The sequence below is a fragment of the Homo sapiens genome, chromosome 9 (genome assembly GCF_000001405.40).
Source record: "Homo sapiens chromosome 9, GRCh38.p14 Primary Assembly".
Classification (NCBI taxonomy): Eukaryota; Metazoa; Chordata; class Mammalia; order Primates; family Hominidae; genus Homo; species Homo sapiens.
This window is the reverse complement of record NC_000009.12, coordinates 125,831,362-125,854,882: the sequence shown is the minus strand read 5'-3', so window position 1 is coordinate 125,854,882 and position 23,521 is coordinate 125,831,362. Positions and strand designations below refer to the sequence as shown.

Here is a 23,521-nt window from a genome sequence, read left to right as displayed (position 1 = left end):
AAAAGTCCAGTAACTAGTTTAAAGCCATAACTGTAATAAATAGCAAAACTGGGAGTTTGGAACCCATGGCAACTTGATAACCAAAACACAAACTCTTTCAACCCAAGTTCCCTTTCAATTGTCCTAAATGACAATGATTGCAATGCTTATAAGTCTTAAGTACAAATGAATATGACTATGAAAATGGGGAAAGAAAGCAATGACATTTTAGTCTCTTGGAAAATCTGAGACAACTGAATTAGCTAAAGCTATCTGAGTAAGATGAATGAAACACATTCATTCACTAAAAATTACAAAGGTGTATTTAGATAACTAGAGAAGAAATGTTAATTTGTACAATTAATGGCCTTTTCACTAACAATTCTGCAAATACAATTTGAAGGGCAATTATTTGGGAAGCAGGGGGTGTCCAATAGATTAAATTTTTTAATATTAAAAATAAATTAGGGCTGCGCATGATGGCACACACCTTGTAATCCCAGCAATTCGAGAGGCAGAGGCAGGAAGATCGCTTGAGCTCAGGAGTTCAAGACCAGCCTGGGAAACATAGCAAAACCCTGTCTCTACAAAAAAAAACACAAAAATCAGCTGGACATGGTGAGGTTCACCTGTAGCCCCAGCTACTAGGGAGGCTGAGGTGGGAGGATCACTTGAGCCTAGGAGGTTGGGGGTGCAGTGAGCCAAGATGACACCACTGCACTCCAGCCTGGGCAACAGCGTGAGACCCTGTCTCAAAACAAAAACAAAAACAAAACAAAAATTAATTAGTTAATTAAAATAGCAGGTCTATATTGGTGCAAAGCTTGGTGCTCTCCAGAGATTCCGATTACAGTGCCATGTTGTGCATGTGTATGTGTATTTGCGTGTTTGTATATATGTATGTGTGTGTGTGTGTGTATACAGCAGCCAATTAATGTTTCTTGTTTAAATAAATGCATATTTTTCATGTCAGTGTCCATTTATTAACTCATATTGGGCATAGCTAAAGTATTTACTCCCTAAAATATAGCTTCAGCTTAAAAACTTTTTACTTGGGTTTTATTTTAAGAATTATTTTTAAATTGTGTTCATGTTAATTCAAGAAACTAATAAGTATTCACTCATAACCATCAAAAATTATTTCTGAAAAACAGCAGGTACACATAAACTCAAATAGTTGCAATCTTTAATAAGGAAACTTAACCCTTTCACCCAGGTGATTCTAAATTTTCAACTTCAATCTGACATTGAAATTTCGTATCATTAAACTTTGCACTTGGATACATTCGAAGATGGATTTTCCTTTCTTTTCCCACCTAAAGTCATCCAAAAGTCTCAATTGTTAGGGGGCCATTTGTGGCATCCCGGGTCAGCTACATTTTGATGTATTCTACAGTATTCTAACAGATGACTGATATTCTTCTTTTTGTAAAAATGATCTCCCAGGCTCTTTTCATAACACCCTTACAAACAGGTATTATCTACATTTTTTATAAAGAGAAAATCAAGTCTCAGAGAAGTCCAGTAAAAAAATGTGTTTTTTACACTAATTTTTGGACTCTGTCCTCTTGGCAACCGTTCCTAGAAAAAGCATCAGAGTAAAAGTATACAATACTTGAGGAAATCATGGCTATATTTTGAGGTAAATCAGTGAGACCTTAATTTGTCAGCATTATTTTTAAGAGTTAGTTTTGCACTTAAAGTAATTCTTAATTCAGGTAAGGAGTACAATTTAAATTCTGAGGTGTGGAAAAAGATGGTTGAAGCATAATACTAACATGGCCAACAGTATAATCTCTGGGTGGGCCAACACATCACATTTTATACAGATACTGACTCCACTGGACAGTCCTGCAAGTTGAGAAAAAGAATGTTTTTAGACACTGAGAGAGAAATGGATTTTAATAAAATGTTGACAAAACACTAAAAATAAAACAATCTACTTGCCTTATACAAAGCTGGAGTATTAAGTATGCATCAAAGGCCTACTTAGTATTGTATGCTAATTAACAACAAAAAAGTCTATTACTATTTGCATTTACAAGTTCCTAGGGCAGTGCAATCCAATCATGCAGTCACTACTAACTGTTGTGTTTAAAAGCAGAAGAAATGTCTCAGAAAAATAACTGGAAAGGTAATATTCTCAGAAAAAGTTATAACAACTATGAATTTAACATTTCCTGGGAAATGTTTCATAACAGAATAAAAACAATGTTATAACTTGACCCAAAACAATTCCACCTTCAATGTTTCCAGAGATTGCCTATTGGCCAACAGTTTATTCAAACACAGAACCAAGCTCTCCTTGATGTGCAATGGTACTAAAGAGAGTACACATTCAGGCTGTTTAGAAACTGGAACCTCATTGCACACTACAGTGCTTATTCCAAATCTGGTCAATTGTTCCGAAAGCCAAATTGCCCAGCTTTAGTACTGATCAGTTAACATGAAGAATGTAATAATTTAGATAACCTCCCACATTAACGGCTTGAATTAAAACAGGTAGTAAGAAGCAACATTTTACTATAAAGGGAAAAAAAGAAATAAGACAATGGCTGGATCTAATAATGGGAAAAGATAACAAAGACCTAGGATTCTAGCATCTGGCACTAAATGAACTTTTTTGTAAACTGAATGGCGGTTTCCAAAACTGCTCCAAGCATCATTCCTTTGCCAAGGCAGTAAACAGCTTTTATCAGCAATAATGATGGCATAATCCCAGCTAAAAAGGAAAGTAACATATGGCAGCAGCCCTCCAAATACCATCCTGACAAAGTAGGGGGCATTTTTATTACAGCGTCCACTTGCAGAAAATCTGCCAGACATCTTTCCCTTTTTTTCTGCTCTTTTTATTTATTTGTTTTTAAACAGGTTATCATCTTCTCCAAACTGAATACCACATTTGGGAATTTTAAACTAATGGTGCCTTTTTCTTAAATCCACTCAGAGACATACACAAAAAGACTGCCACATCTAAGGGAGGCTAATAAAATAAAATGGAGCTGCCTCTTTGTAAAAAAAAAAAAAAAAAAAGCAGCAAAAATTTTTTGAATTCTCTAAACTTCTAAACAAATGCTTTTAATTAAGGAGCATGTATCAGCACCCCAATGACTAATACACAGTGAGCACCCAAGAAATAATTGATTTCATAGTATAATAAAAGTTCTTAAGAAATTCAGGTGAAAAAATAATGCAGACAAAACATTACTTAGTATACAGCTGATAAACAACAAACTACAGTAAACTGCAAAGAAACATATCTATAAATGATCTTAATCTTATTTGATATGTGTTAAAATGTCAGGCTTCATAATATATAGCTCTGATCAAAACAATCACAGTGAAGTATTTTTTAGGCCAACATAGTGTTTATCAACAAACGTGTTAAAAAAGATGCTTCTATAAAATATCTCCTAATGGCCTGTGGGGTGTACTAATGAATCATAAATCCCACCTTGGTTTTCAATGACGGACTTTCTATTTTCATTGATAAGTCAATGGCTGTCTTTTTTACCTAGGCTGTCGATCTTTCTTAATACCTTGGACACAATCTGCGAATGGCAAAGATATAATGTTGATTTAGATTTTAAACATAATCAACAGATTTGGGAAATTCTTTTACTAATTAACACAGCAATTATTGTGTCTCGCACTTTAAGATGCAAACCTTTGTTTACTTAAGGCAAATTTATTAGCTGATAGAGGAACTGATGAAAAAGTAAAAGAATGTTAATATTTTTGACATCTCTACCCATAAGTATTTTTTCAGGCTGAAAAATATATCTAATAGCTCCACTCACTGATGTGCACTATGGTTTACCACAGTGTCTATATTTCTACTGTCAGTTTTACAGTATCTTCCTTCATTAAACCTATCAAGTTTTCCTTTTGATCATGCAACCAAGGCCAGAAGACAGATATCTTCCTGGAACAGAGCAGTCTGCCAAGTCTTTCACAAGACCAGCTTAACCTTCCTATTGATTTTTTCAACACTGCAGCCATTCATTGTTTGTGACATTTGGCTGTCGGCTCTTTAACACCCTTCAACCAAATCAATTTCATATTTTTGTCAATGCTCTGCAAGAGGATGAGTAAAAATAGGAAGAGATTTAGCATGATTTAAAATGTTGATTTTCTCAAACAGTTTTATCTTTAGTTTTTATAAGGCTTACAAACTTAATTCATGTGCTTATTTAGACTTCTGCATAAAACAAGGGGAGAAGCTTTACAAATTATAATTTTTCAGTACAATACTGACTTTATTCTTACTAAATCTTTAAAATTTCTAATTTCTTAATGTAAATTCATACTTATACCAATTGCATCCTACCTTACTTAAAGACTACTACTTAAAAATAATGTTTTCTGTGGTTTGGATATTTAAATAATATGTAGGAAACACTGAAAATTAATATATATAACATCATAATTACTATGTTTTCAAAAGGCAAAGCATGTCAAAAAAGCACAAGTCAGCATTTTGCTCAACTTTAAATCTGAACTTCCAGTGTACCTAGATACTAAATGCCATGGACTGGCTTCAGGCTGCCAATGCAAAAACTCCTTTTGACATCAGTTAGAACAACATGTGAAAATCAAAGACACATATGTTCCAAATCGTGCCAAACCTCCCATCATTCAGAAAATTCTGCAGACTCTCGTGGAAATAGATGGTATAAGAACAAAAATTAAAAGAACAAGGCATTTTCACTCTATTTCTGTTAGTAAAATTTAACGCTACAATTTAATATTAATCTACTAGGTTGCCTCCTGTAGCATTAATTATCAAAAGAAATAGACTAAGACGTCAAAATCACAGTTAAGTGGTTCATCTAAATATATATTTAAGGACTTTTTAAAAAGTGAGTTAATGACTTGAAAAGCCTGATGGTTTCTTTGGAACCATGATACATTACTGCACAAAGTACATAATACGTAATTCTTCAAAATATATTAATAATCCAATATACCTATGGTTTGCTGGCATATTAACAGATGTTCTGAAAACACCCAAACAGTTACACTGTTGATTAAGTAAAAACGTTAAAGCTGCATGGTAATTGTTAAGTATAAGCATTTATCTAATGCATCTAAAGCACTGAAAACACAAATTAATAATCTGATGATTGAAATAACTTCTATGCAGCCTTCAGGAAATAAAATGTATATTGATATTTAGGGTGTTGCCAAAATATAAATAATTATATTTCATCAAATCTAAGACTCATCATGATTTTATGTGCTACTGTAAAGAAGGAAAAACTTATGTCAATTAAACTATGACATGATATTGATTATAAGAGGCATCTTGATTTCAGAAATGCTAAAATGAGGAGGGAAGAATGAACATCTTAGAATCAATGAAACATGGTAATGATAAACTAGAATAACATCTACTCTTGGTTCATTATGTGTACCATTTTAAAATGTGCATGTTAAATACTGTGACATAGCACTTCAAGTCACTTTGGAACATTAACATGACCTTCTTCTGCCTAACAAACTGACTCCTACATTATCCTTCCTTTTTTTTTTTTAAATCCACCATGTGCACCCTGATATCCTTTCATTCCTTATGGATATGCTGCTACATAAAGGATAGCACAATAAATAAAGCACACATGAGGACATCACAGCCTATCTGTTATATCTGCAAATAAATCATTCTGAAAAATTCAACAACTGAGAATTTATGGAACATTCTCTTACAACAATGCTTATAGAAAAAGCCCTTTGGAATCAGAAGGACTTGTGTTTGAATAAGGTTCTGCCACTCACTTATTAGCCATGTGATCCGGAGCAAGCTGATTAACATCTTGGAGCTTCCATTTTTTTCACTAAAGAAAACAGAAATTCTACCAACTTCCTAAAAGTACTGTGAGAGTTAAATAAGAAAAGGTATATCAAAATTCTTAATAGAGTACCTGGCACATTATAAGTGTTCAATAAGTGTTTCTGTTCTTTACCAAGCTATTGCACAAAACCATATAAAAGCTAATAGATACTTGACTCTAGATCAAGCTTATCTAGCCTGTTGCTGATGACTCCCTGAAAATTATTATGCACTATCACAGAATGTACATGGTAGCAAGTTATGTATGAACAGATCCACAAGAATGTAAGTTCCATAAGGGCAGGTATTTGTTTTTCTTTTATTCAATACTGTATCTCTACCGTCTAGAACAATACCCAGAAAATATTAGGCACTCAGTAAACCTTTTTGAACGAATTAGAATTTCAATAAACTTAATTTCTGATCCCACACTAAATTTTAACTTGATAGCAAGTCAATGAGGACAATGTAGTAAGACTATTTGTCTTCTATTCTAAATGCTACTGACCATAACAATGTTACCTTTATAGCAATAATGCAATAGCACCAATCTAATTAATTCAACAATACTTACTATGCATCTACCACAGTACTAGATATTGAGGGAGAAAAAAGGAAGTAGTATAAGACACAACTATTGTACTCCTGGGAAGGCAAAATAATGACATGCATGAAACTAGATGTGATCAACTTTCAAAATAAACCACAATGTTTTTACCCCTAAATAACTAAAAATAAAAATAATGTAGAACAAGATTAAAAACTAAAATGTGGAAGACTGCTGGAATCAAGAGACTATACCTTGAGGTGATTTTAGGTGAGAGATGTACTAATCCAGAGAACTGATCATTGTTCATGAGATAGTGTGGATATTTGAAATGTTCTGCCCTACAGATGCCAAACTAGAGATTTGTTCTCTAAACTGGTTCTCCAGAGAGATCTGTTCTCTAAAGCAGAGATGGAAATATTTCACACAAAGTAAGTCACGCAGGATAAAGGAGCACCAATGAGCTGGATGTGAACCATCAACGCATTAGACCTAGCAATGACTCTAGGTCAGCCTACCCTAGCACTTACTCAATTCACCATATTTACTAATGTTGCTCTGTGCCAGACCCTGTATGAGGCATCTGGGTGTACAAAGATAATAAGAAACACACCTATCACAAAAAGCTATTAGGGGAGATAGCACTTAATTTAGATTGCAGTGATCTATTTGTGCCTCTACAATTACAACCATTCTACAGGTTAAATTTACAGGTTGAAAGATGGGACAAGATAGCCTACTATAGAAGATTCAGTCCCTAGACCATATTTTGCTCATTTGAAACACAGTTAAAAAAAAAAAAAAAGTTGGAAACTACAGCAAAGCATAAGGAAAATAAAGAAAAGGATAAAGAAAAAAATGTTAAAAATCCTAATGCCACTACTGAAAGGTAACCATTATATAATATAAATATTTGGTCTTTATTCTTTCAGTATTTTTGTCCTATTTAAAAGTACTTGGGAAAACAATTATGAGCATACCACTATTTTACTATTTACTACTACTATTTTACTATTTATTGCTGCTTTATAAATTTAATACATTGGACTTTTTCCATATCATTGGGTATTCTTCTAAAACATGATTCAAAATAATTATGTAGAATTCTATCACACAGCTATAACATAATTTAATCAATTCACCTATTGTTGGACATTTCAACTGTTTCCAATTTGTCCTTTTAGGAATAATGCTGCAAACTAGACCCCTCAGTAACTAAGTAGTAGATATAGGAAATTTTCTCTTCACAAATTAGTATAAGAAATAAATTGAAAAGAAATAATAGAATATTTCTATTTTGCTACCCCAAATAAACTAATAGATGTAAGCATTGATCACCAATAGCCGCCAACATTACCAATAAAGAGAAAAGCAGACAATATGAGCCACCTAATATAAGAATATAACACAACCTATGAAGCAATTCTTCCAGGAAAATAAATAATTAAACCTGAATTTTACTAAGCCTACAGATCCAACTCTCAACTTGTAGGAAATACAAAGAACAGAAGAACATGTTAAACTATACCATGGGGATGCAATCAGCAAAATACAGACTGGGAACTTACAGGACAAGCAACCCAATTTTTTCAACAAAAAAGTACAAAGGGTTAAAAAAAAAATGGAAAAGAAGCTTTAAATTTAAAAAGACGTAAAAGATATATCAACCAACTGCAATGAGTAGACCTTACCTGCATTCTGTTCAAACAAACAATTTGGATATATGATATCAAGGAATTATGGTTCATATTTTGGTGTAATAATGATACAGTGAAATTTTATGGTTTTTTAAAGATTTCTTAGGGGTACATGATGAAATATTTACAGGTGAAATAATATGTCTTGGATTTACTTTTTAAAATGTAGAAGGAGAAAGCTGATGGAGGTGACAATGGGGCAGGATTGGCCATAAGTTGGCTGTGTTTGCTGTTTGGTGCTGTAATATTCTGTCTTCTGTGATGTGACTCAAAATTCACCCTAATAAAAATTTAAGAGAGAAGGAGGTGGGGAGAATATTGCAGTGGTAACCATCTTCATGTGTTTATCTTTACAAATGTCTCTATTTCCTCAGTATGAATTCCTAATTAGGTAAATTATTTGAAAATAAATCTTTTTAAGCTCTCAAAATATTTTTCTAAAATGACCTGAAAATTTCCCTATACATTCACCAACATAATTTTATGTCTTATGTGAATAAACTTAACTCCCAGCAACCATATTTTGGCAATGTCTGAAGTTATTTCATTTTAATGTGGACATGAACAATAACACTTATCCCACAATCCTACACATTACATGGTACTACTACTGAGCATTTATAACTGTGTTTTTCTGTCATTTATATAATAATTTCTAGCTAATAGGAAAATAAAGAAAATTAAAACATGAGTAGATGAGTCTTAATTTTTGTTTGGATCCTCCTTCCTCAAATGACATCTTCAACCCACATAAATCTCATAATTTAGGCAAGAGAAACTAATATTCACTTTATTTTTTACAAACTTTACAGAATATATTTTTTAAAAACTAATTCAGTGAATCATTTTCACTTTAGAGTCAAGGCCTATTGCATAAATGCAACAATACAATAAAATATTTTTATACATTTACTTTCTTAATCATACCATATAGAATATCTGAATTTGTGGAAATTTATTTATTTCAACATTTGTCTTTTAAGATAAATTACAGTCAGATTACTACTCAGATTTTCTTTAGTAGCATATATAACCCCAAAATAGCCAAGCTTAGTGGTGGCAAAGCTTCAAATATTATAAACTCACATTTTTAAATCAGGGCAGACACCTGAGACAAAAACTGTCCCCAAAGCTGCCTACAACAGCTACATGCTGGTCACTCTTTCTTGTCAAGGCTGATTTATTGCCTCCTTGCTGTTCAATTTCACATTTTGTCCTCATCATATCCCTGGCTCATGATCATTCTATGCTGACCCTTGTAGGGCAGGCAGGGAATATTGATAAAACAATTATCTGTTAGCCGTTCATTTGATTTTCCATTTCAATTACGGATTGCACGAGGCAAAAGGAAAAAGATTGCATCATTGATTTTTCTACCTTACAACAGTACAGAGTTGCTTTGATGGTTATAAAATGAATGCAACTCAACCATGCTTTTAAAGGTCATATTTTTTGTTTTAGCGTAATTTTTTCAAAGCGTAATGTATGCAACTGTATGCATCCTAAAAAGAAAACTATCTTCAAAGCCAAGCTAAATTGCTGCACAGGTGAGAAAAATATATACATAAAAATGCTTCAGATGAGTCAACCATTTCACAGTTGCATCCACACTGCATAGTAAAGGACTTTTCGGGAAAAGTATACCGGTTAGGGAATTTCCAAGGTTTTCCGAAAGATTTAGGTACGGAGACATAGCAATCCCTTCAAAAGGAAGGAAAAAAATTAATGCTTCCTGACTAACGTAGTTAAATAGTGACAGTAGTTTGTTCAGTTTCCATAATATGAAAGCAGTATTTTTAAAAAAGCATATTATACTACTAACCATAATTATGTTTAAACCTCACCTATCTGAAAGGCTGATAATATGCTATTGCTAGCCAGTGATCCAGGACGGTCACAGTCAGAGAGAAATGGTGCTGAACCTACTAAACTTCATTATGGTTCAGCGAATGGTACAGCTCCAGGGGATGTTCACATGGCCGACCTTAAGAAAAGTTCAGCCTTTGATCAAGGTTTAGTGTTCCTGGAGTAGCAATGGTACAGGAAAGGGTTTCCATTTTCTGTGCCATAAGGTGCTGGTGTTGATCTTCTTAAAGCCCCAGAGTTTTCTTCCAAGACTGGATTACACTCAGCAATTAAGGTAATGAACTAGCTGAGGTAACAAAGCATAATGATCTCTTTTGTCCTTTGAATTCTTATGAACTCCACTCATTCACAATAGTCTGGCATGCAAAGCTTTTTCAACCCTGTACTGCTTAAAACTATGTAAAAATGATTACTTCCATTATGCCTTCATGGTTTGACATTTTTAATTTAAACACCTGTAATATTTAAGCATACTTTTCAGAACCAAAATACCCACTCAAAGAATGCTAGCTTACATTATGGTAATATTTTGACATTTTATATAGTATATTTTAATGCCTGAAAAGATAATGTGATGAATCCATTATAAATATATCAAAATATATATACCTAGGACTTTTTCTTGATTTTTTTTGTTTTTAAATCCTAAAGTTTAAAAAAAAAAAAAAAAGGTGGCATTCTGTTAAACAGTCACTTATGGAGCTTGTTGCCAGCGTTAACTCTCTTCAAGTTCAATGTGACCTAAAATATGCAGGCAAAAAAATTAAATAAAAATCTAAATTATAATAGAAAACTTCCTTAAAAACAGATTCTTTACTTTTTCCTAACAGAAAACCTATTTTAGAAAAAGATATTTTTATGTAGAAATTGCATTTTCTAGAATTTATGTCACTTTCATTTTATAATTTTTTTAAACATCTGGGCACTATTTTTTACATTTTCTCAAATCTTTGCATTTTATAAACCTTCACCACTGCAGATTTTGCTGCTCTCTGATCTTTCATCTTAACACATTTCCAGCCCCAAATTTCACTTCAATCTCACCTCATCTCTCCATACTACATTAACCCCTGGCAATTGCCTTCCAAATGACCCCATTAAGCTGTAATTGCCTCAGCAGGCCTGCACTTTCGCTTGTAATTCTGTACCTCTCATCTCCCAGACGTTCTCTCAGCATCATTTCATGTTCTGGCTCCCTTCACTGAGCTCAGCTTATGACCTCGCTGCACCATGGCCGAAATGACTACTAAAAGCATAACAGAGACGGAATTCCATTACTTATTTTTAAAAGTTCTCTGGTGCCCTAATGTAATATTCTTTCGGGACTGTTGTCAAGGATACCAAGCACCGGCCATTAAAACCTTTTGTTTTCCAAGGCATTCCGTCTTTTATTAATAAATAAAGATAAAGATAATGTGCATCCAGCCGGTGGAAAGTGAGGGTATGTTTGCAATTTTCTCTCTCTAATACAACCTTATTCTGCCCATAATATTTAGGAAATACAGACAATAGGAAAAAGCCTTTTTAAAAATTCTCCGTATACCCCATATGACCATACCAGGCCCCAAATTATATAAATAAGAATTAGTTAACATCTACATCCGTAGGGTTGAGAACCATCCCTTTTTAAATTTTATGTAAATTATACTCACATTTAAGTAAAATCAATTGAAGATATTTATGATATTAGTTTAAAAACAAAATTTGCAATCACTCCATGTAAGAATGTCAGTCTCTTATGGGTAAATGAAATTCCCAATGGGCAGTCTCAGAACAGTAGAACCAAATAACAAGGAAAACCTTATTAAATTCCCCAAATAGGTTTGTGGATATTTTAGGGAGACCTGTATTCACAGAGAAGAAGGAAAATAAAACATCTTAATATTTAGGATCAGGAAACCAAGTAAGTCAATCAAGCCCTGTAAAAAGTGAAAAGGTGAAATTTCTTTATCGTGAAAACCAAGGATAGCCTCAGCAAAACTCAGTACAAAGCTAGAACTGACATAAAAATAAAAGAGCTTAATTTTGTAAAGAAAAAACATTTCCCCCATAAACTAAAGATGAAGATTTGAATTATATTTGAAACAAACTCCAAATGCAAAACTAGCAAATTCCAATGTAAGTAAAACAAGTAAACAAAAAAATCAGCAATCAAAGGACTTCACAAAAACAACACAACCAAAAAGATCAAGTAGGAGGCAAAGCCCACAAAATTGGGCATGGATGAGGCCCAGCAAGGAATCCTTCAAACAGCAGTTGCATGCAAAAGAACTCGAGCAACTAAACCCCATAATCTTGGGTCAATACTGACTTGTTTTACCCTAAACTTCAACTGTTCTCTCCTAAAAACTGCCTTGTGCATTTCTCCTTAGTCCTCTCCTACTAATGAATGCCATTAAGCTAACACACTCTGAAAGGTGCCTCAAGAAAAACATTTTTTTAACTGAAGCTGCTATTTTCTGGACTAGACCACATTAAATGCAAAATGAAAACACTGGGTGTGCAGATTTCTCCTAACCGGAAGGCTGAAAAAGACTGAATGGAAAGGGGTGAATTCTTTTATGCATGTAATAGTTCAGAAAACTGATATGATGTCAACATGAATGTGTTTTACAATAAAATTGAGTGTCAGAGCCAGAATGGATTCACTGTCTCTGCAGGCCAGAGCATAGCCACTGTTGCCTAGAATTGAGTAAAGTTGTCAAGTGAACTGATGTTTAGTTTCAGTAAGATGGCCTGAAAGAGAAGAGCTAGCACAAGGAAAACTCGCTACAGCAACTTTTTGCTTTAAGAAATGACTTATATTTCTAACCCCATCTTAAGGAGGTCAGTTACTTCATCATCGGAAGGCAGAAGACAAATTGACACTTGATCAAAATACACAGATATAAATGAAAGTTTTCAAAATTAGAGGTTGAGAGACAATATAATCCATGCTTTCTGAATTATAAATGTCTCATAAAATCATCTCATATTTCAGATAAAATATAGTCTTTTACTCAAATTTTTCATCTAGATTTTTGTTAACAGTACAATAAAAGCTTCACTGAAAAGCACAAGCACTGAGGTCAAACTATCTCTACACATCCTAACTAAAGTGTTCCACTCTAAACCAATACTGCAGTTTACTACATGTTTCTGAAATTAACTCCAACATCCAGAACAGTTAAGAGATCAACTTAATCTCCCTTGATTCTTTAACCAAGATAATCAATTCTGGCTACAGTAAAGTAAGCACTGCCCATTCAACAGCATTCTGAACAAAAGCTGGGTCTATGTACTAGAGGCATTGCAAGCAAGCTCAAGACCAAAACAAGTCATACACCAGCAGAGCTATACTCCAGAGACTTCACTCTTTTCCTGTCTTCTCTGTCACTGAATAAACTGGGGTAAGACAACACTCCAGGGATGAAATAGCAAAAAGGAAGAAAAGTAGAATGGTTATAAATGTCCTGTTGCAACAGTTACGTACATAAAAATCTAGCCATGCATTTCTCTGGTGCCTACCACATCACAAGTTCAAGACAAAAAACATAGTACCTAGGGTGTGCTAGATTAACACAAACAAAAGAATCATCTACAACATTTCTCCTACACCCACAGAACCAAGCATTAGCTAAGTCTGATTTTAAAAACACTGCCACAAATTATTTGAATTTTCAACAGTAAGAATAAATTTAATTATCTGTATTTACCCAATTATTCAAATAGTTTAAGATCTAAGGCTTTTTAGGATTTAGATAAAACTTGGTAACAAGTCCAAGCTCTACTACTTAATAACTAGGTGACTTAGACAATTTATTAAACCTCTCTGGGCCTTAATTTCTTCATGTGAAAAATAGGAATAATCAAACAAACCATAATAAATTCCATGCAAAGAGGCTATTCATAGTCCCTAGCGCATGGTTAGCCCTAGTGTTAGTACATAATAATTTAAGAATTTCTAAAGAACAATATAGTTAGATGCTAGGTAATATAATAATTGAACTAATAGAAATCAAACAGCTGTAAGACTCTATGGAGACTTAAAAGTAACAAACTGAACGACTTAAAATCAAACAAGCAAATAATTTCACAAAGGAGGAATATTCTGGGTTCAAACCCTTACCCTGGACTCTCTTTACAATGCCCTTTTCTGAGCAATTCAGTTAGAATGAGGTTCAAAGGAAAGAAGAAGAAAGAAGAAATAACTCTGTAACATAAACATTTCCAGTCTTTGCCCTTCACCCTACTCATATATATGACTTCCCAAAAGACATATAGCATATTTTAAAACTAACAGTTTTCAAGTAAAAATTTTCTTGATATAGAAAGATATAGAATACTAGTGTTATAAAATTACAGTCAATGTACCAAGGAGATCGAGGAGTTAAGAAAGAAAAATGGCCAGTTCTTTAAAGGAAAGAGAGAAAAATTCACTCAGAGGGTTAGCTATAGCTAAGGGATGGAAGGTGTGTTAAAAGTCACTAATAAACTTCTAGAAGCATATATAAGTAATAATATAAAAGCCAAGCAGAAAAGGCCAGAAAAAAATATGTTACTACACCTTTTGTGACACACTGCCCATAAGAAACAATTGCTAAAAGGCCAGCATACGCAGGACAGCATTATTTACATCTGACCAGAAGAACACTATTAAATAAATTCATTGTAAGTGGCATCTAAAACACAATGGACACATTTCCAGTGTGCTAAAAAATGAAAAATAAAAAACTCCATCCTGAAAAAAATTCCTCCTTTATTCCAAAGTTGTTTCCATCTACAGAAAAATCTTCTGGAAAACAGTTTAAATATCACCATAATGCTAGACAAGTCACAATTATTAATCTTCACTATTTACTATTTAAGATATTTAAAAAAAAGAAGACAGGTCTGTGAACATGAAAAACATTTTTAAAAATCTCTCTGCTGATACCCATATTTACAAAGAGGCATCTGAATGGCCCACTGTCCATAGTGCTCCTCAAAGCCCAGAAATGAGTACCACAAGACTGACAGATAATAGAACACTGTACAGGTTTCTGAAAGCTTTTGCTTTATACTAAGAATTTAAGAGAGCAAAATACTTCAAAATAGAGTATACATATATCAGATGTCAGGAGTAAATTATCTCAATTCCATAAACAGGGAGGTCACTGAAAAGACAGTCTTGGAATGTTTAAGAATCATATCCCAACAGTATCCCTTTTCTCTTTTGCTTTCCTCGGCCTTTCATGTCTTCTTGTCCATACAATATATATACTTGGATGTGATCCAGTAATCCAAAACTATACATATCCAAAACATCTTCCCTAACTTTCCTAACAGAGACAAGAGAACCAAAAGACTCTCGTTTCCAGGCTTTTAAACTCCCCATAAATCTTTGGCTTTTCCCTCTCCTTCTACCTACATTAAATCTTGCTAACTTTTATTGTGAAGAAGTTACATCAGTTCATCCGGCACAACAGGAGCTTACAAAGATTGGAAATATTTCTGTTATAGGGTTATTTCTGTTTCCTTCCTCTTTCTTTGGAACCTCATTCTAATTGAATTGCTGTGAAAAAGACATTCATTTACTCAATCTATAGATCTGAACAAGTGAGAGATCTTCTGAATCTGAGTATAGTCCTCTTTATTCATCACCATGTTGCCTCTTGATTCCTCAAATCTACAACAATGAATGAGATTTAACTGGTTCACCTCAAAAATTATTGTTAATAGTAGTAACATATCTATTGAGTATCTTCTGTGGGTAAAGCGCTTGACTATATGTTTTCATGTACAATTTCATTTAATTCTCACAGCTACTCTATGAGGTAACCACTATAATTATCTCCATTTTAGAAATTTTAGAAGTAAAACACAGAAAGATTATTTTCAGTTACTTCCTCAAGGCAACCTAACTGGGAAATAGTGAAACTGAAGCCCAAATCCAGGTCTGAATGACTCCAAATCCCATATTCTGAACCATTCCCCTCCGTGTGTTAAGCTCTACCAAAAATCCCCATCCTAACTTGCTGCCTTCACTTTTTCCTCTACCTTGGCAAAAACTTCTATCACTTTCCTGGAAAATCTAACAAATCCTTCCAAAAATCCACTCCTTTCAGCCTTCAAAATTCTACTTTATTATTTTCATTTTATAAAACCTTCCCAGATTAGTGCCATACATTTCTAACCTAGACCTAGTTAGTACCAGCCACGACTCCTGGCCTTTGTTCTCTCTAATGTTTCGTACTTTGGTACAAAGAGCTAGTGTTATCTATCTATATTTTTGTCACTTGACATTAGCAGAAACCAATTTAATCTTGTAAATAACAAATAACAGTAAGTTGCACAACTAGCAATCAACAATTACATTTATGTAGGTAAACTGGTTATATCTTAAGAATGTGATTTGACAGATTTTTCATATCCTGCAAAGTATATCTTCCTATCATTTCCCATTTACAGTCCAAATCTTCTTGTCTACCAAAATACACCTAACGTTCTTGTGGATACCAAGGAGCTAAAAGCTGAGTAATTACAAATGGAAAGCAGTTTGTAGTGTGATGTAGCAATCACTCATACAAATTATAGAGGTCTCTTGAAAATTGTGAGAGCAAGGGCCCATTGTCCAAAGTAGACTTAGAAGACGCCAGGTGCAGCGGCTCATCACTGTTATCTTAGCACTTTGGGAGACCTACACTGGAGGATCGCTTGAGCTAGGCCAACATTAGGCCCCGGCCAACACAGTAAGACCCTGTCTCTACCAAAAATTTTAACAATTAGCCAGGCATTGTGGCGCACACCTGCAGTCCTAGCTACACAGGGGTCTGAGGCAGGAGAATCCCTTGAGCCCAGCAGGCTGCAGTGAGCTGTGATCATGCCACTGCATTTCAGTCTGGATGATAGAACAAAACCCTGTCTCAAAAACAAAAGAAAGAAAAGATGGTACAACCTTTTTTTTCCATATGGTATCAAATACATGGCATTGGCTTTGCTATTAAAATGTTTCTATCTACCATTTCAACAGGGTAGTACAAACCTAGAATGCACTCTTTGGTTGCTATCTTTTGAAAAAAGACCAACAAAACAAAGACTATAGAAAGTCTAGGCCGGGCGTGGTGGCTCACGCCTGTAATCCCAACACTTTGGAAGGCCGAAGTGGGCGGATCACAAGGTCAGGAGATTGAGACCATCCTGGCTAACACGGTGAAACCCTGTCTCTACTAAAAATACAAAAAATTAGCCGGGCATGGTGGCAGGTGCCTGTAGTCCCAGCTGCTCGGGTGGCTGAGGCGGAAGAATGGCATGAACCCAGGGAGAAAAAAAAAAGTCTTGAGACCTTTGCTGTTTAGGAAAATAAACTGCAGAACAATTCAAAGTGGCTCTTTATTAACCTTAAGTATTATCATTTAGATTCCTCTTAAAGTATATTTTCATTTTAACATTTTAAATATAGGGTTACATAGTTCAAAATGCAAAAAGTACATTTTTAAGTCTCTTTCCTATTCTTGACCCCAAACACCTAGTTTTCCTCCAGAGGCAAATAGCATCATGTTTCTTGTGTATTCTTCTGGAAATATTTTATATATATAAAATAAATTATATATATTTATACACATGTATACATATTTGTGTAATATATATACACACACAAAATAAGTATACATTTCTATTATTTTTCCTATATCAGATATACATGTATATAATACATATATGTACCATCATGTACTTAGCTTTCTGACTTAACAACATAGCTTGTAAACTGGTTCTGTATTAGTGCATACAGAGCTTCATCATTCTCTTTGACAGGCTGCATAGTACTAGACTGAATAGGAGTAACATAATTTAACCAGCCCTCTACTGTTAAACATTTAGGTGGTTTCCAAGCTTTTACTATTCTAATCAATACTACAAGTATCTCTGAACACATATATTTCTTACATGCAAATATGTATGAAGGCTAAATGCCAAGAATTGCAATTGCTAGGACAAAGCATGGTGATATTTAAATTTTGATAGATACTTCCAAACTGCCCTCAAAGAAAGGTTGTACCAATTTATGTTCCCACTAGCAATTTCTAAGAGTCTCTATACTAGTTCTCTATCACACTGTTATCATACTTTTTGATCTTTGCTAATCTGACAGATAAAAAATAGTAGCTCAGGGAAGTTTTACTTGTTTTGACTCTTAAAAAAATGTTATGGATACATAGTAGTTTTACATATTTATGGTAGGATATTTCAATACAAGCATAAAATGTGTAATAATCAAATCAGGGTGACTAGAATATCCATCATCTTAAACATTTATCATCAGTTTATGTTGGGAACATTCCAATGTCACTCTTATAGCTACTTTGAAATATACAATAAATTACTGTTAACTATAGGTCACCCTACTGAGCTACCAAACACTAGATCTTATTCCTTCTAACCATATTTTTGTACCCATTAACCAACCCCTTTTAGCACCCCTTCCCTGACTACCTACGCTTCCCACCCTGTGGCAACCATCATTCTACTCTAACTCCACAAGATCAATTTTTTTTTTTGAGACAGAGTCTCGCTCTGTCGCCCAGGCTGGAGTGCAGTGATGCAATCTCGGCTCACTGCAAGCTCCGCTTCCCGGGTTCATGCCATTCTCCTGCCTCAGGCTCCCAAGTAGCTGGGACTACAGGCACCCGCTACCACGCCCGGCTAATTTTTTGTATTTTTAGTAGAGATGGGATTTCACCATGTTGGCCAGGATGGTCTCGATCTCTTGACCTCATGATCCACCTGCCTCGGCCTCCCAAAGTGCTTGGATTACAGGCGTGAGCCACCGCGCCCAGCCAAGATCAATTTTTTTTAGCTTCCACTTATCAGTGAGAACATGGGATATTTGTGTTTCTGTGCCTCACTTAATTCACTTAACATAATGTCCTCTCGTTCCATCCATGTTGTTACAAATGACAAGATTCCATTCTTTCTTTTTCATGGCTAAATAACATTCCACTATGTATTAATATATGTATCACATTTTCTTTATCCATTCATCCACTGATAGACACTAAGGCTGATTCTATATCTTGCTATTTGAATAGTGCTGCAATAAACAAGGGAGTGCAGATTGTCTTGATATACTGATTTCCTTTTTTTTGGATATATGCCCAGCAGGGTGATTACCAGATCATATCATAGTTCTATTTTCAGTTTTTTGAGGAAGCTCCATACTGTTTTCCATAGTGAATGCACTAACTACAGTGTATGAACGTTCCCCTGTCTCTACATCCTTGCCAGCATGTTATGTTTTGTCTTTTTGATAAAAGCTGTTTTAACTGGGATGAGATGCTATTATATTGTGGGTTTGATTTGCATTTCTCTGACAATTAGTGATGCTGGGCATTTTCATACACCTGTTGACCATTCATATGTCTTCTTTTGAGAAATGTCTATTTAGATCTTTTGCCCATTTTAAAATCAGATTTTTTTTTTCTGCTATAGAGTTGTTTGAGTTCCTTACATATTTTAGTTATTAATCCCTTGTCAATTAAATAGCTTGCAAATACTTTCTCCCATTCTGTAGGTGGTCTCTTTGTTTTTGTTTTGACTCTTGCAAGTCAGTAGAATATAACGGTTAAGAGTATAGACTCTAGGGCCATCTCCCAGCTCTGCCACTCACTTGGAGCTGTGCATCCCTGGGCAGGTCACTTAACCTCTGTGTCTCCTCTTCCTCCTACATCAAACAAGGATATTAATACTGCAATTTCAAACATTCTTGTGAAAATAAAACAAGTTAATATAATACATATGAGATGCCTAGAACTGTGCCTGGCACATAGTAAACACTCAATAAGTAGTAATTGTTATTTTTTATCCTATTTTGAGTGAGGATGGACTTTTTCCAACATTTAAGAGTTATCTGTATTGTCTTTTCTGTTACTTGTCTTTTCATATCTTTTGCCCTTTTTTTTTTTTTTTTTTTTTTTTTTTTTTTTTTTTGAGACAGAGTTTTGCTCGTCACCGAGGCTGGAGTGCAGTGGCATGAACTTGGCTCACTGCAACTTCTGCCTCCCAGATTCAAGCGATTCTCCTGCCTCAGCCTCCTGAATAGCTGGGATTACAGGCGCCTGCCACCACACTTGGCTCATTTTTTGTATTTTTGGTAGAGACGGGGTTTCGCCATGTTGGGCAGGCTGGTCTCAAACTCCTGACCTCAGGTGATCCACCCACCTCAGCCTCCCAAAGTGCTGCGATTACAGGCATGAGCCACCATGCCCAGCTGAGATTTAAATATTTCACAAACAAGTAAAAATAATTGGTCGGGTGAGGTGGCTCATGCCTGTAATCCCAGCACTTTGGGAGGCAGAGGTGGGCGGATCACCTGAGGTCAGGAGTTCAAGACCGGCTTAGTCAACTTGGCGCAACCCCCGTCTCTACTAAAAATACAAAAATTAGCCGGTCGCAGTGGTGGTGCCTGTAATCCCAGCTGCTCGGGAGGCTGAGGCAGGAGAATCCCTTGAGCCTGGGAGGTGGAGGTTGCAGTGAGCCGAGATCAAGCCATTGCACTCCAGCCTGGACAGAGTGAGACTCGGTCTCAAAAAAATAAAAATAAAAAAAACAAGTAAAAATAATTGATCCATTCTTAGTTTTAGCCACTATCACATCAATGTATCACCTTAAAAACTTGTTGAAAGGTGACATCTTTAGAGTTTTTCTTCCCTGTTCCCTCCTCAGCTATACTTCTCTGTCTCAGCTCATATTTTTCCTTCTCTTACAGAAACCTTCCCAAACTACTTTTTCTAAAGTCTCCCCCTACTTCAGTCAATACTTCATAATGTTTATCATGCTTCGAAATTATTCTATTTATTGACTTATTTATTATCTGTCTCCCTGCACTTAATTGTATGGTCTTTCAGGGCAGCATATTTGTCAGCCATAGTCATTGCTGTATTCCCAACATCTAGAAAAATCTCTGGCTCAGAGAAAGCAAGCAGTGTTTATCCAATTAATGATACTGTTTAAAGTTAAACTGAAATTGGAACCCTCTTGGAGTGCAGGTAGAAATACAAAATGGTACAGCCACTTTGGAAAACAGGCTGGCAGTTCCTCAAAAGTTAAACATAGTTATCTATGACCTAGCAATCCCATTCCAAGGTATATACCAAAGAAAAATGAAAATATATGTCTACACAAAAACTTATACACAAATATTCATAGCAGCATTATTCAAAATAGCCAAAAGTTTTAGACCACCTAAAACTTTTTAGCTTCAAGTACTCTGCAAGCCTCCTTTGAACGAAATCATATTACAAAAAGTTCCTAGAAAGTAAATTTAGTCTAAATAGGGAAAAACACAGAATTTGAATACATTTCAGTTTGAATCCACCTCTGTCACTTATTAGCCATACAACATTAGGTTAATCCTCAAGTTTTACTAATCTTCAAGTTTTCTAATCTATAAAATTAGGATATAAAATTTACGGTGGTATTATAAGGATTCAGCAATAAAACAATTTTTTTTTTTTTGAGACAGCGTCTCCCTCTGTGGCCCAGGCTGGAGTGCAGTGGCATGGTGCAATCAAGGCTCACTGCAACCTCCACATCCCAGGCTCAGGTGATCCTCCTGCCTCAGCCTCCCAAGTAGCTGGGACTACAGGTGTGCACCACCACGCCCAGCTAATTTTTCTATTTTTAGTAGAGATGGGTTTCTCATGTTGCCCAGGCTGGTCTCAAACTCCTGAGCTGAGGCAATCTACCTCTCTCGTCCTCCCAAAGTGCTGGGATTACAGGCATGAGTCACCACGCCTGGCCAATTTTTTTCATTACCAGTACATTCTTAGCATATTGCAGGAACTCAGTAAACACAAATTTCTTCTCCCTATTTGCTCCCCTTCCTAATTGTACTTCAATAATTAGCACCCAAGAATAAAGCTCAAAGAAATTTTCCTTAAACCAAGTTGCATGCTACAGCGGTTAAGATTACACAGATGCTGGAACTTCCCGAAATGACATAACAATGTAGGTACTTTTAAGTCTCACCAAACTCCCTCACAAAACCAGACAGAGCCATCAGGAAATAATAAACCACAGATGACATTTCCTACAAAAGCAGGTGACAAGGAATCCCTCCTAAACCCTGGAATTATAGATAGGTGTGGCCAAAAACACCCAACAGCAGCAAGACCTGTGATCAGCAGCTATATGAAGCAGTGGTGGTAAAGAGAAATACAAAAGGGTCCTAAAAGCCATGAAACCCAGAACTCACCAACAAATAAATACCTGCAAAGGGAAAAAGATCAATACTATCATATCTGAGAATCTAAGCAAGTGAATCTGAGGACAGTCACTTGCCATTCAGGCTCTAAGTCATGAGGGAAAACAATCCTAAGAATAGAAAAACTAATTAAATGACATAACTGTCTATCTCTTCAGTGAAATATAATTTGAGGACCCTCTCCCAAAAAACTGCACAGAAAGTTTTAACTTCAGTCAGTAGTCAATTGTTATCTGAAAACCATTAGGCTGGGCGCAGGGGCTCACGCCTGTAATCCCAGCACTTTGGGAGGCCGAGGCGGGTGGATCACGAGGTAAGGAGATCGAGACCATCCTGGCTAAAATGGTGAAACCCCATCTCTACTAAAAGTTCAAAAAATTAGACAGGCGTGGTGGCGGGCGCCTGTAGTCCCAGCTACTCGGGAGGCTGAGGCAGGAGAATGGCATGAACCCGGGAGGCAGAGCTTGCAGTCAGCCGAGATCGCGCCACTGCACTCCAGCCTGGGCAACAGAGCGAGACTCCGTCTCAAAAAAAAAAAGAAAGAAAAGAAAACCAGTATATATTTATAACAATATATAGAATAAATCAAGTAATTATCTTAATTTTGTTAAGAATAAATTTTTTGTCATAAAAGATATATAAATATAAAATCTAAGAACTTAAGTGAAACCCTGTAATCTTACATTTGAGTTAGAATTATCAATGTGAGCTCACTTATCTCCTCTCTTTTCCTGAAAGCAAACAACCCAGTAGCAATAAGTACCCTTAAGGCTCAAATTTTGGCCTTTGTATATCACTCCTCAATAAAAAGAACCATGGCTCTTTGGAGAAATGGCAGATTCTACATCTGGTGGAGGAAATGTACAAGATGAGCCTGGCACGTTTTGGTGGGCCAGAAAGTAAGAAGCTAAAAAAGCTAAAAATGGAGTCTTATCAGAAGGACACAGGAGCCAACTTGAAGGGGTTCCCACTGGACAAATGTGGTACAATTTCAGCATCAAAAAGTATAATGTCTGAAACTGATTAAAACACACTACATATACAAAAAGCCAACACTTCATAATAACTACTAAAAAAAATCAAAAGTTATACACCACTGGAGGATACTAAGGCACTACCTCATTACTCTGGAAATTGATAATTAAAGGGAAAGAATTAAATATTTTATACTGCCTTTCCAGTATGAATTGTATTTCTGGGTAACCAAATAGCCCTAGTGAATGGATAAAGCTCTTTTAAAACACTCTGGCTAATCGAGATCGCACCACTCAGCCTGGGCAACAGAGCGAGACTCCATCTCAAAAAAAAAAAAACATTCTGGCTAATAAATACAGAAAGAATAACAAGTGGACCATTTTCAAGGCCTAAGAAATTCAGTA

The 23,521-nt window shown here is 35.3% G+C and overlaps 1 protein-coding gene and 1 long non-coding RNA gene across 13 annotated transcripts in view, besides 1 other annotated feature; both read right to left on the bottom strand.

Moving 5' to 3' along the window:
* The window catches only part of PBX3 (PBX homeobox 3), a 220,005-nt gene that overhangs the window by 112,495 nt on the left and 83,989 nt on the right, over positions 1-23,521 (bottom strand). The gene's annotated exons all lie outside the window — the stretch shown is intronic.
* LOC124902271 (uncharacterized) lies at positions 1,149-17,532 on the bottom strand. The gene is made up of 2 exons (XR_007061778.1): positions 3,434-17,532; positions 1,149-1,830 (listed from the first exon to the last, which is right to left on the bottom strand). It is a non-coding gene; the product is annotated as an uncharacterized LOC124902271 (long non-coding RNA).
* Positions 14,959-15,253: a silencer, noted in NCBI's record as "tiled region #15662; HepG2 Repressive non-DNase unmatched - State 24:Quies". NCBI's record gives its function as "represses a minimal TATA promoter and a strong SV40 promoter by Sharpr-MPRA in HepG2 cells {active_cell/tissue: HepG2}" and the evidence as "EXISTENCE:reporter gene assay evidence [ECO:0000049][PMID:27701403]".